A 15338-nucleotide genomic window follows, 5' to 3' on the forward strand; every position below is an offset into this window, starting at 1 on the left:
TGTGTGTTTTAGCACAGCAAAATCTAGCTAGTCCTCCCTGAAACAGACTTGTAAGAAATTTGTTTCCAAAATTCCTCAAACAAATTAGGAATCAGTGTTAGATTGACCAGGTATAGCGGAGCTGGCTTCCTTTTTTAATTTTCCATTTAAAGTATGTATTTCTTAAGCACGTTTTCACATTGCTAACTTTTATTGTAAAATATTAATTTGTAAAAATATTTAAGAAATTTTAAATTTTAAAAATATAAAGTCAAATTTTAGATAAAACCATCATTGATAATCTCAACGTTATCTTTTAGTAATTATTTTTCAATCTTTTTAGTCTTATTTAAAAACCATTAAGATATTATTAATGAAAATTATAATAAAATACTCATAATAGCTTTTTTGGCATTAATTACCTTCCAAGCACTGTTCAAAAAGCTTAATATATATTAATTTGTCAAATGTTTACAACATCCCCTGAAGTAGTTATTATCTCCATTAAATGGTTGAGAAAATAGAGACAAAGAGAGAACAGCTTGCCCAAGACCACTCAATTAGTAGTTTGTGGAAGACGTTTTGTGAGCGTAGTAGTAGAAAGTCTAATAGGATCTGCACTCTTAGTGACTACTTTTCTGTGTGATTAAATGCTTCTTATCCACATTGTTTTAGATGTTTCATAATGCAATGGACATTTCACTTTTGTTGGATATTGATATTGTTTCCAATATTTTACACTACTCATTTTGAAATCAATACTGCTTGGCAAACTTTGCTCCTTGTATTTTAGATTATTCAAAACTTACCTGCCTAGAAGTTTATATCTTGTTGTAAAGAACATAAATATTTGTTGGCATTTGAGTAAAAATTGCATATACATACTTCAAAAAAATTATTGCATTAGCTTAAACAACTGCTAGCAGTATATGAAAGACTGCCCTTTGTAAGGACTTGGGTGATGATTCTAGCCCAGAATTATGAGATAAAATAAGGTAGATGGATGAAGGCTCTCTCATGTTTGAGACAAGAAATATCTGAAGGACAATATTATATTATACAATTCCTTTAATCTGCCTATCTAGTGACTTGCCCAAAATCTACTTTCCATACACTTAGCCATAAAATAGGCATATTCTGAATTCACATTGTTTTGAACAAATGTAAAATAACACAGTGTCCAATACTAGGAAATAAGCTGATAAACTAAAGAAATCCAGTGCAGTGCTGTATCAGAACTAATGGAAATGTCACACTGAAACTTTAAATTAAGAGGACACTATAAACCCATAATACGGTACATCAGTGCAAGCACATAAGAAAATGTTTACCAGATTGAAATAACAAAGAAGAACAAATGAACCTAATCAAGGAATGGATAACAAAATTACTATGCTTCTTTTGTTAAACATTAATTTTTCATAGTCTTTAAAAGGATTTGACTCCTGTAGTTATAGAATATATAAAACTCATTGCTGGTGACACCGATTATTATGTATCGTGAACTCGATGTGTTAGCAATGAAATGAAGCATGTTTAAATGTAGGGAGTGATGCTGACAGAATCCTCTGAACCCTTTTAATTTGCATTGTAAGTAGATTTTGAGAGGTAATTGGTTTACCAGAAGAAAGAATATTCTTTATTTTTTCCTATTACCTTATGTTTGAGTTGAGCATGGGCTCTGAGTTTCAACAGTTCTAGAAGAGTCCTTACCTTCAAAGTTACACCTTTGTTTAGCAACTCTTATGACCCTGCTTAGTTTCTATGGTTTATTCAGAAACCATAGAGAAAAAGAAAAAAATGATTGAAATATTAAAACTGCTTTGTAGTCTTTATTTCTAAGAGGAAAATATGGCCCCATCAGTGTCTAAAATAAAACCTTGGCTGTTTAACTGTGACAAGTTACTTAAATTTTCTAATTCTTAGTTATTTATTTTAGAAACTTATAACCACTCTGTCTACTCAAAAGGTTGTTGTAAGGTCATCAACTTTGAATAGGCAAGAGTATGTATAATCGTGTAAATCATAAAAATTATATAAGATAGAAAAATATTAAGTACTGTGAGAAATCCAATATTTAACTAATGTTTACTAAGCAATTTTATTCTTACTACTAATTGCTATATGATTAGGTTTTTAAAATCCCATTCCTAGCATGATCTAAATGGCTTTTCACAATGTTTTAGATCACCTTGCTTTTGTTTATTTTGTGACCTCAGTGGTTACTGAGTGGAAGTACCAAATAATAGTTGAAGTACTGAAGTGACAGCCCATTGATTCAGGTTAAAAGCGGATTTCTCAGACTGACATTCAAGATACATCATTACTAGTATCCAACATCATATTCAATCTTCAGTAATAAATAAAATTTTGACTTAGTCAACTAACATCTCTCATCCATTTCTATTTCTGTTTTTCATTACTCATTATGACTATGAACAAAAATTAATTTATGATAATTCACCTTTAACAAACCTCTCGACTGCTATGTCGATGAAACCAAATGGTATTGTGTGACCCAATGGAAAATATCACTCCTCTTTCTGAATATCTTTAGCATATATTATACCCTTTGGAATTTGATATTAATTACCTTGTTAAGTTGTCCGGAGATATGTTATTTCCTCAATTCAATTGTAAGTTCTTCAATGTCAGAGATTGTGTCTTATGCTAGACATAATTTCCCTTTGCAGCACCTATGATAAAACCATATAAATAATATATAATAAATAATCAATAATTATTTTATGTATTAATCATTTTTAAATGTTATGCTCTGAGCTCCATGATTTCAAAAATTCTTGTCTCGTTTTCACAGTGCTTAAAAATGAATACACATCTATTATAACTCTACGTGGTATTTAATTGTATACTTTTAAATATAATATGAGGTAAAATAAGTTCTTGAATGGAAGAGCTATGCTAAATTTCCTCCTTGAGACATTAATAAGGGACCACAGAGAGCATTCTTTGGAACCCTCAGATTTGCATGACTGCTTAGCCAGATATAATAAATTGTAGATATTTAAGATGATCTATCATCTTCTAATTCCAAAGATAGATCAGTATGAGAATAGAGGAATCAGCAAGATAATTAAGAAAACCCATTATAGGGTTTATAGATAATCTTGTTAAAAGGTTTGGCGATATTAATTTTTTGTAGAATTCCCTTGAAATTGAAAAGGATCACTGGCATTCTTGGCAATCTGAGAAGAGATAGTTATGTGCTAGATGGGACAAAAAGAGCTATCATATGAATTGGTTCTACAAATAAATAATAAAAATACACTTTATTTTCTAAATGTTATTTTCATAGTATTTCTAAGTATGAATTGTGCATCTTTTCTTCTATTACTGAATATAAAATCAATATGTAACTATATAATTGTATGGCATTTAAAAATTGCTTGAGCCCAGATTTTAGGCCCTATAGCTCAATCAAATATAGTTATTTAAGAATATACTGATCTGGGAGTAGAGACTTCAAGGCCATGGCCATAATGCATGTTGAATTGCACTCAGGCAACTTGCTGTTAGAAGTGTTAGTAATGATCTCTGCCATGTGATGGAAGGCACTTCCACTTCATATATTGACATTTCCTTTGATATTTACATAATGTATATTTCAAAAATGATCAAACAAAGTGCTGGTTTATAGCACAGAAAGTAAAATTTGAATTTTGATGTTTACTTAGCGGATGCAGAACATTAGAAATGTAGTGTAGTGTATTGAATCCCATATTTATTCTAACTTTGTAGAAAGTCCCCAAGTAGTAAGATTTGTGGGCTTCCATGCACTCCTTCAAGGACCTGTATAAGAAGGAAGGGAACATTCCTTTACATAGGAAAATCATAATGTGATATGATTTTTAGCTTCAAATGCTGAATCCTACACTAACATAGTTGATTTAGTGGAAAAAGAACTTTTGTTACTAGTAGATTTCATAACTTTATGCAGAAAAACAGGTTAGAATTGAACTCTGTTGTTGGAATTTTCCTGTTTCACAGATGTCCCTGCTCAAAATTTTAGTACAGTTTTTCTAATGCTAATTATTCTTATAATATACAATTTGAGAATAAAAATAAAATTTCGTATCCCTGGCTAAGTATTATACTATTATTTCCTGAGGTAAATGTGTCAATCTCAACATTAAGTACAAAAAACAAATTAAAGGTGTCTGTAATATACTGATTATTAAACAAATAATGAGATGCATTTTACTAGAAGCTAGTTCAAAGTGACATGGCACCATTTAAAGCACACACACACACACACACACACACACACACACAGACACACACATACACCTGGGCCCCCAAATTTAATCTGTTTTTCCAAAAATGGAATTGAGAACTTGTTAACAGGAACCTGTAAATTGAAGTATGCTCTTATAAAAATGCAATATAAAAATTAGGCATCTGTTTGTCTGGAAATCAAGCTGCCTTCAAACATTAAAACAACACTTACTTGCTTCTAAAGTGAATAGAAAATAAGTCCTGGCTGTTATTTAATAGTTTTAAGTCACCATGACACTTCTGCAGGTGGGCTGTTGAATTGTCTAGTTGCTTGATGTTAAAGTGGACATTTTGAAAATAAATCTTGTATAGCTGTCATTAAAATAATATGATCTGGGTCTTCAGTTAGGTGATTACTTTGATGTGTTTATTCAACAATTTTCTGAAAAGGGGAAGTTAAATTGTCCTACGCATTAGTCGTAGGTTGGTTATTGTAACTACATTTATGTTTGTCTTTGACTCTGTGTCAAAATAATGGCAAATCTCAAATTGGAATGTATAGGATTGATTTAAATTGGAAAAGAACATTTACTTATTTTATAATATCCACCATATGATGTTTCAGACCTGACTGAATTTTAAAAGTTTTGAACAAGGGATGACAAGAAATAATTCAAAATAAAATATTTGTCCTCTCTAATTAGTATTCTCCATTTACAGTCATGTGTCACTTAATGATAGAAATATGAGAAATGCATCATTAGGTAATTTTGTGATGTGCAAACACCATGGAGTATACTCACAAAGCTTGATGGTGAACCTATATACACCTAGGCTATGGGGTATAGCCTATGGCTCCTAGACTACAAAACTGTAGTATTAGTTTGTTTTCACACTGCTGTAAAGAACTTCCTGAGCCTGGGTAATTTATAAAGGAAAGAGGTTTCATTGACTTACAGTTCTGCATGTTTGGGGAGACCTCAGGAAACTTACAATCATGATGAAAGGGGAAGCAGGCATGTCTTTTATGATGGCAGGTGAGAGAGAGAGCATGTGAGAGTACGGAAAAAACTACCGTCTATAAAACCATCAGATCACCTGAGAATTCACGAGAACAGCATGGGGGAATCTGCCCCCATGATCCAATCACCTCCCTCCCTCTACTCTACGTAGGCAGATTACAATTCTAAATGAGATTTGGGTGGGGACACAGAGCCAAACCATATCAGCATCTTACTGTACTAAATACTATAGGTAATTATAACACAATGGTAAATGGTACCTAAACATATCTAAGTGTAGAAAAGAAACACTAAAAATGAACTATCATAATCTTATGAGATCAGCATCATATTGCACTGAAATACTGCTATACAGCATGTGATTGTATTTACACATAAGGAGTCTCTGAGTATAAAGATTTTTGTTTTTGTTGCAGTTATTTAATTTTTTTACTACTATTTTAAGGATACAGTAAAATTTAAAGGAGAAGACCACTAGACAAGTGGAAAAATATGAAGAATAAGCAAATTGTTTTCCAGACTATTCATCAAATTCATAACATGGTAAAATAAAGAAGTTCCTTGTTATGGACTAAATGTTTGTGTCTTCTCAAACTTCACGTGTTAAAACCCTAACCCCTAAGGTGATGGTATTAGAAAGTGAAGCCTTTGGTAGATAATTATGTGGGAGTCTCCATGAATAGAATTAGTGCCCTTATGAAAAGAGACAAGAGAGTTTGTGCTTTCTCTATTCTCCACCAGGTGAAGCTACAAGAAAACCAAAAAACAGGCCCTCACTAGACACTAGATCAGTTGGTGTCTTGATCTTCGACTTTCTAGCTTCCAGAACTGTGAGAAATAAATTGCTTAAACCACACAGACTATGGTAATTTGTTACAGCAGCTTGAACGGACAAAGACACCCCTTCTCTTTGTTATTTATAAGATTGTCCTCAAAATGTGAAGGAAACTATTCTTAAGTCATGCAGCAGATACCATCATGCAAACACAGAATCATCTACCTTATCTTACTTGGGACAGCAGGGACTGTGAGTGATATTTCTGGCCATTGATCGAGGCCAGAAGTCAAAGTTTAGAACTGCCTCAGAAGCCAGGGATAAGGTTTAATATGAGGAAGTAAATATCAATCATAGAATCTATTACCTGAACTATTAAATCAAAACAAAAAAAATGTTATGAAAGCCAAATCCTAGGAGATTCACCTCAAAGCCATGAATGAATTCAGAATAAAACAGATAGAAGATAGATGACTCTACCCATCCTGCCTCTGTGATGCTAAAAACCAGATGAGAGACAGACTGGCCAGGCCTTCATGGCTTAAAGAGTCCAGGACATATTTTTGGACCAAGAGTAACTTGAAGAATCTAGTGTGGAAAATAATATCAGTGATGTCCTAAATGCTTTTGATCACAATTATAATATCAATAAAGATGGTTAACAGTGAGTTATTGTAAAACAATTTCCCTTGGTGTCGATCTTAAGTCTCAATTACTGTTGTCAGGAGAATGGAGTAGTTTATATGTATTGTAAATGCAACTAAATATATTTCAATAACTCATTCACTTTTGTAATTATTTTTCTTATGTTGATACTAAAATCCAATTTCATCTAGATACACCCAAAGATGTTTGGTGGTGACCGTCATTGGCAGTACTTGTCACAGGCAGTAGTCGATTATGGGAGAAAATTACAGAAATAGACTGGGGAAGAAAATGGCCCAAACAGGGAATTACATTTAAAAGCCTATGTTGAAGCTAAGTGTACATATCAAGAGATGAGAAACCTTTATATAAATTCGAGTGAAAAATATGAATGAAATTAAAAATCAGAAAACATTCAGGTTCTATGTATCAAGGAAATATAATCGGAAGACAGAATGGCATGATTGAATGGGCGTGGGCATAAGCTATAAAAATAGGAGTTCAAAACTTAGCTCCACTTCTTACTGGCTATAGCATATAAACCTCAGTTTCATCATCTAAAAGATGAGATTCATAATCCATAACTTACTGATTTGATATGAACATTAAATTTGAAAAAGTATATGAAACTTATAGCAAAATATCTTAGTAAATTAAATAAGCAATTGTCTGGCAAGCAGTCACTGAATCAGAGAGTCAAGAATGAGACTGAGCTGGTATATCCTCTTTTAAGAATTGTCTATTCATGTCCTTAGCCCACATTTTGATGGGATTGTTTGTCTTTTTCTTGCTGATTTGTTCGAGTTCATTGTAGATTCTGGATATTAGTCCTTTGTCAGATGTATAGATTGTGAAGATATTCTCCCACTCTGTGGGTTGTCTGTTCACTCTGCTGACTGTTCCTTTTGCCATACAAAAACTCTTTAGTTTAATTAAGTCCCAGTTATATATCTTTGTTTTTGTTGAATTTGCTTTTGGGTTCTTGGTTTGCCTAGCCCAATGTCTAGGAGGGTTATTCCAATGTTATCATCTAGAATTTTTATAGTTTCAGTTCTTAGATTTAAGTCCTTAATTCATCTTCAGTTGATTTTTGTATAAGGTGAGAGATGAGGATCCAGTTTCATTCTCCCACATGTGGCAATGGCCAAAAAGCATATGAAAAAATGCTCAACATCACTAATGCTCAGGGAAATGCAAATCAAAACCACAATGCAATACCATCTTATTCCTGCAAGAATGGCCATAGTCAAAGAACAAAAAAATAATAGATGTTGGTGTGGATGCAGTGAACAGGGAACACTTTAACACTGCTGGTGGGAATGTAAACGAGTACAATCACTATGGAAAACAGTTTGAAGATTCCTTAAAGAACTAAAAGCAGAACTACCATTTAGTCCAGCAATCCCACTACTGGGTATCTAACCAGAGGAAAAGAGGTCATTATACGAAAAAGATGCTTGCACATGCATGTTTATAGCAGCACAATTCACAATTGCAAAAACATGGAACCAACCCAAATGTCCATGTCCATCAATCAATGAGGGGATAAGGAAACTGTGATACATATATATATATATATATATATATATATATATATATATGTATGTATGTATGTATATATGATGGAATACTACTGAGCCATAAAGGAATGAATTAATGGTATTCACAGTGAACGTCTGGATGATATTGGAGGCTATTAATCTAAGTGAAGTAACTCAGGAATGGAAAACCAACCAAACATTTATGTTCTCTCTCATAAGTGGGAGTTAAGCTAGGAGGATGCAAAGGCACAAGAATGGCACAATGGACTTTGAGGGCTCAGGGAGAAAGGGTAGGAAGGGAATGAGGGATAAAAGACTACAAATAGGGTGCAGTGTATACTGCTAGGGTGATGAGTGCACTGAAACCTCATAAATTACCACTAAATAATTTACTCATGTAACCAAACATTACCTGTTCCCCAATAACCTATGGGAATGAAAAAAGACTGAGCTGGTAGTAATAAAAGAAGTAATTTTACCAAACCTACTGAAATATGAAATTCCAGGAGTCAGGACGTGGCCAAGCAATTTAGACACTAACAAATGTATTTGAGATACATTTATCTTTCCTATAAATATAGACAAGTATGATGATTTAAATATTTTCTGACATCTTTGATATTTTGCCTAAAATATAGTGGATGATCAATAATGAGTTGAACTAATACATATGTGTATAAAGTAGATAATAGGATGTAGTGAATCAGTGACCTATAATCAAGGTCTTTAGCTCCAGTACCAGGTAAGTAACTAGATAGGTGTGAGAACTTGAGCAGGTGATTTAGTCCCTGGAATCTGTATGACCAAATGAATGAAGCAATTTTTAGAATGTAGCAGATTTGATTTTCCCACATCACAAAAAATTTTAACTATTGTTTTCTTAACTCTGCTGCACATAATCCCTCAATTGAGTGTTTCTTGGGTTCCAATTACCAATATTGGCAATAAGTCTCCATGACATCATCAGACGTACTATTCAAATGCAATACAATTGCTGCTAACCTGTGTAAAACATAATTTAAAAAGTAAAACTACAATCGAAATGTCTGGGATTTTAAAGGAAATATACATGATATTAACATTACCTACATTGTGTATTACCCCCTCTGAATGGGAAACTTGAGAATGGATTGGGCAATCAATAATTGGGAGAGATTACTTTATACATACATATATACAATGCTAATCATCACTGTCTGTATAATCAACCACTGTATAGCTAAAGACAAATAATATCTGCCAGTATTTTTCAACCTTGCTCATGTTATATTATGGCCAGAAAACTTGGCTATGTGAAGAAAGACATTAATGGTTACAGAGGAATTAGAATAGAGACATTTAAAAACATTAGGCCATGGTTGTAGTGCCATATAGCCAGATTTTTTTGTTAGCTATTTGTTAAACAAATATTTATTAAGCAGCTACTATGTTCTAGGCCATGTTGGGAACATGGCCTAATGATATAGGGAAAATGAGACAGATATGGTCCCTAAAGCCTTCATTTCCGTAAGTCAGGCAAACATTAGGCAAACACCTAAATAAATTCTAGCAAATACCAAAAAGCGATTAGTAGAATGCATAAAATTAAAATAAAGTTATGTAATTGAGAGTGTCTGATTGTTTTCTTAGATTAGGTGACCAGGGAAGCTTTCTCGGGCTTCCATGTGAAGAATGAGTTATAAACGACAGAATAAAATAAGTGATTGCTAGTAGAAGACTATTGCAGTGGTCAATTGTAGGAGAGTGGTGGTTTGAAATAGTTTCAGATTAGTGAAAATGGAGAAAATGAAAATTAAAATATTGTTGATATATTTTAGAATAGTATTGACAGGACTTATTCATAAGTTGCATGAGGGAAATGAGGAAAGAGGGAAATCAGAGTAACACTGTGATATTTGGCTTGAGCTTTTGGGTCAACAGATTTAATAGCAGAGCTGGGAAAGTCTGAGGGACAGGAGATTTGAAGAAGAAAACCGAGGGCTTCCTAGGGGAAGGTGTGTTAAAGTCTGAGGGTTTTTTTCTATACATCATGGAGAAGTTCAAGAGACAGTTGGAATTCTAAAATCTAGAATTGGAGATGTAGATTTTAGAGTAGCCAATATGTCTTAATAACTGCTTATCTCGACCTCCATTGCTTTGCACAGCTCCCTTTGGTTTTTACTTTTACAGCCCAAAATTTCCTCGATTTTACATTTTTAAACTATGAATTCCAAGACCTTTCCCACCACCTTCATTGGCTTTGTATCATTAACCTCAGGAAATCTGCAGAACCTTTTTAATTCTTAGACTGCAGTATAAAAAATTGTTTCATGCATGAATAAAACAAAAGAACATTTGTGCCTGAATCATTGGGCTCTCTCCACTCTGGAATTTTTGTTCTTTCTGTAAAGAATAAAAGTTGGTAGTGTTTCTAATTTTTAAAAAAAGTTTCTTTAAAACTCTGGGTTTAAAAAGTCTCCAATGGAACCCTGGGAAATAGAAGAGGTAAATCAGATATATTCTGTGTGAAGGACACTGGGAGAGTTCAGTTTTTCAAGCTAACATGCTATGCCCCTTGCTGGTACTGACAGCTATCCGCTTAGGGCTCTGTTTGTATGTCAGAGGATTAGATCATATCTAAGTCCTCCTCAAAGACTAGCTTATGATTTTATTAAGATATTGCCTCAGGAAGGAAAGATCTCCTATGAATTCTGCTGGGTCTGAATTACTTTTAGACTGTTGCCAATTCCAGAATCTGCAGGTGGTAACCTACTCATGTGGGAGCACCTGGATAGTCAGAGGTTAGGGATGGAGACAGAATCTGACACTCAGAAATGTTCTGCATCGTGCAGAGGAGTTGCTCTATGATTTGAAACACATGGCACATAATGCACAGAGTGGAAAAACTACACATTGATAATTGAGATTTTACAGTGTGATATTGTGCATCTCTTCTTTATTTTCACAGGCAAAGGAGCTAATTTACATCAGTATTTTCTGAATACCTGAACGATTAACCATTTATGCTTTTTAACATTCAAACTGTTTTCAATTTGCAAAGTAATTAATGATGAATAAATGTATTATCTTCTTCTCCAAATTTTAAAGCACACACATGGAATGTATTTTAATGGCATTTCCTTTATCAGTGTCAAGTCATCCCAATGAGCAATAATATTTATGTTGTGCTATAGATAGAAAAGATAGTAGATGTTAATGAAATTCCAGAGGACTGACTAATTTAACACATCATTGATTTACAAGTGTATCAATTTATCCTCGCATACTTTTGAATTGCTTGTCTCACTATGGTTAACAGATATGCTTAGGAATTATTAAGAGGTATGTAACTATTTTTCAATCCTGCCTTTACTACTTTGCTGTAGCAAAAGACTCTCATTTCAAAGGCATTTGTAATCAAAGTGGTGGTTGCTCTTTCCTTCCAATTCTTTCTAGAAAATTTATTGAGCACCTACTATATGCCAAAAATTTTTCTAGGCACTTGGAACATATTTATGAACAAAACAAAGAGTTTTGCCTTATATTCTAGCAGTGAGGGGAGACAAAAATATCAAAATACTTAAAAATAGATAAAATATTGAGTATATTAGAACATATGCTGTTTTATAAAGGAAATTAATGGAGAATAATAGAGACTGAAAGCATTGGGTGTGAGGGATGATGGTGGAAAAGACGGTTGCTATACAGGTGGATCTCATTAAAAAGATGACTTGGAGCAAATATTTAAAGGAAGTAAGAGAATTAGTCATGGAGACATCTGGGAGAAGAGCCTTCCAGGCAGCAGGGAAATTAGCTAAGGCCCTGTTCGGGGAGCCTTCCTGGAACAGCATCGAGGCCAGTGTGACTGGAATGAATAGTGATGGGGAAATAGCACAAAATGAGGTCAGAGAGAGGACAGCGGACAGATCACATAAATTCTTGTAAGTGATTGTGTGAACTTTCATTTTTACTCAGTTTGTAATGCAAAGATACAGCCTTTAAGTTGGAGGTGATGTCCTGGCATCCTGAAGCTCACTGAATTTTCTAATCCTTCACTGATATACATAGTGGGCTTCTGAAACTTAATAGGGTTTATCTTCCTGCCTTTGAGGTACATGTGTTTTATTAAAGCTTCAATTTATTTTCCATTAGTGGCTCATCAGATCTTATTGCGATATCACTGATAAAATCAATATTGGACTAATGTAATATTCTACAGAATGTCCAGTTCATATAGGGCTGTTTTGAGTATATTATAACAGAGGGCAGAAAGGTTAACATAGCCTTGTGCAAAACTGTAAATGTGTATGATATTTTGTATCCTGGGCGATTGTGAACTGCTTCTGATTCTTCTTGAGAAGTGGGGGGGTAAAAACATTTGCCAGATAAATGACCGCACACCATGCACCTGAGTCTCTGTTCATTTTTTCCAGCAAAGATTCCACATCTGACATAGTGGCCTCAACTGGTGTTACTATATAGTTAATCGTGTGGTAGCCCACTGGTGTCTTCCACGATTTGTCTGCTTTTTCATAGAAGCAGAATTTGTAAATTCAAGGAAGATACAGTGGGCCCATTGAGTTACTTCCATCTTTAAGTTGGTACTAATCTTTGCCATTCCTCCTTGGATGCAATATTGTATTTTATTTTCTATTTTGGCTGAGAGTTGGTGTAGTTGTTTTAGAGTGTCATTCTACTTGGCCTCTGCCACTGTGATGGCTTTTATCCCAAGAAAAACAAAACAAAACAAAACAAAACAAAACTAAACTAAACTAAACTAAACTAAACTAAACTAAACTAAAAGAGTGTTCTGCCAGCTATCAGGTATGGGTGTTCTAATCAGGAATGGGGAAATGTTCACAAAATTTGTCCAGAAGTCCAGGAGTCCCACAGCAGGCCTGACCTGAGGCTTACTCAGTTTATTACCCAGCATCCACATTTTTCCATTCTAACTAAGTGGCAGTGATAATGTTTTTGGCAATTGTCATCAATATAAGCTTGAAACCTATAGCCAAGCGTTCTTTAACTGTCTCCCTTCATGCTTTCCCAGTGAATTGTACCTGAGTAAATAGCTTTGGGGAAGGCCTGAGAGTTTGTTTACATCGTATACTTGTCATGGTATTGCTGGATCCTTCCTCCTAAAGATATAAACCCTTTTCAGTGAGTGACTTCTTCATCTGAGAACTACCTCAGATCTGAAAACTGGGAAAAAAAAAAAAGTCTGTACTTGATTGGTCCATCCTCTTTCATAATCCCGATGATCTACCCTTGATTTTTTGTTGAATTACTATAGTGATAAACATTTTGGCTGCCCATCTATCTTGCCTTAGGTTTTATTAGCTATCTCCATAGCTCTCTGTAGTTAGGCCTACTGGTCTGCTCTCAACTGTTCCATTCTTTATCATCATTGTGCCTGACTCTATAGTTCATCTAGCCTCTATTATGGTCACTACTATCAGTGAGCTCAGGACAGTAATAGCATCTTCTCCACAGATTCTGCTATCCACAGGGACAATCTTACTTATTTAGAAAATCTTATACTCTGATCTAAAATCTGATCTAAGATCTAAAATCTTACTGATTTTAGAAAATCTTATACGCTAGAATGTTTTGGTTTTATGTAGTAAATATGTACTAGTATGAACACTTCTCTGAGCTTTTGATCTCTTGCCACAACCTCTTGGCATTTCTTTTTTTTTTTTTTTTTTTTTTGAGACGGAGTCTCGCTCTGTCGCCCAGGCTGGAGTGCAGTGGCGGGATCTCGGCTCACTGCAAGCTCCGCCTCCCGGGTTCACGCCATTCTCCTGCCTCAGCCTCCCAAGTAGCTGGGACTACAGGCGCCCGCCACTACGCCCGGCTAATTTTTTGTATTTGTAGTAGAGACGGGGTTTCACCGTTTTAGCCGGGATGGTCTCGATCTCCTGACCTCGTGATCCGCCCGCCTCGGCCTCCCAAAGTGCTGGGATTACAGGCGTGAGCCACCGCGCCCGGCCACCTCTTAGCATTTCTACTTCACTTAAAGTGGAAAACACTTTCAGCATGCTTCTAGTGCCCAAGCTCCAACATAGTCGTAATATAACTTCATTCTTCCAGGGTACTTATCACAGAGTTAAATACTCCTTCATGGAAGAGTGCACCCATATTGATAAACTGATAAATTCTCCATTGTCCAAACTTTGCTCTTCAATTCAGCATTTTCATTATCTATTTCCATAAATATATACCATATTTCTTCTTGTACATGTTAGCTTGGTCCAGCACTCCCATACTTTTACTGGGTATAAACCTTTCACTTTCAGAATCCCAGTACTCTCTGAGATATGTTGTGATTTGACCCTAATTATTGGTCTGAAGACCAAGAAAGAAGTAGGGGTATCCTGGGGGAGCACATATTCTCTTGCAAAGCAGAGACCTCTGCATCATCTTTCAACAAGGGCTGGGAATTGGATCACATCTCTAGGTTTTCTAGTGCATTGAGCCAGATGTACACATCCCAAGTTTCAGGTTCCCTTCTTCCCTAATTAGAGCTTGGATTGAAAATTAAACCTTCCCTGGAATTCTACTACCCTTAAAATTACATCCTGTGCCTGATCCTCAGCCTCATCTGTCCTTTAGCTCTAGGAGAAGAGAATCTCTTTAGAAACTGCCAAGAAAGTCCTCTGTTTTTCATATTTTACCCTAAATTAATGATTAATTACACTTAGCCCTTTATTGTTTTCCAATGCATTAGTAAAATCTAGCAACATTCATCCGATTTTGTTATCCTATGTAATTAGTACTTGCTCTAAACCTCTAAAATGGCTAATGTATTATAGACGAGACTACATTTGCTTTTACTAAGGCTTTATTACATCTGTGAAATGTATAACAATGGCACCACTAGCTTTTGCCAGAGGCTGTCAGTACTCTATCTAACACCATTGATAGTATTCTTATTGCCAGCCAGCTGGCTGGTGATTCAGCTCCAAAATCCCACGTTAGAGTCTGCTTGCTAGGAACACACTTCGAACAAACTCTCTTTAGTCAAAATCTCCAGAAAACTGAATTTGAAATGGATATTGTACCTAGGTGGCTTATTGGAGGAGAATAATGGAGTAAGGGAAGCAGGATAGGGTAGAGTTAAAAGCTGAAATATGATTCAGTTACAACAGAGATCTTAGC

The 15338-nt window shown here is 34.8% G+C and overlaps 1 long non-coding RNA gene across 2 annotated transcripts in view; it reads right to left on the reverse strand.

Moving 5' to 3' along the window:
• The window catches only part of LOC107984536 (uncharacterized), a 297729-nt gene that overhangs the window by 169632 nt on the left and 112759 nt on the right, over positions 1-15338 (reverse strand). For both annotated transcript variants that reach the window (XR_001749235.2, XR_001749234.2), the window contains exon 2: positions 2573-2675. This is a non-coding gene — a long non-coding RNA (uncharacterized LOC107984536). The remainder of the gene's footprint in view (positions 1-2572; positions 2676-15338) is intronic.

Source organism: Homo sapiens, chromosome 12 (assembly GCF_000001405.40).
Source record: "Homo sapiens chromosome 12, GRCh38.p14 Primary Assembly".
Taxonomy (NCBI): Eukaryota; Metazoa; Chordata; class Mammalia; order Primates; family Hominidae; genus Homo; species Homo sapiens.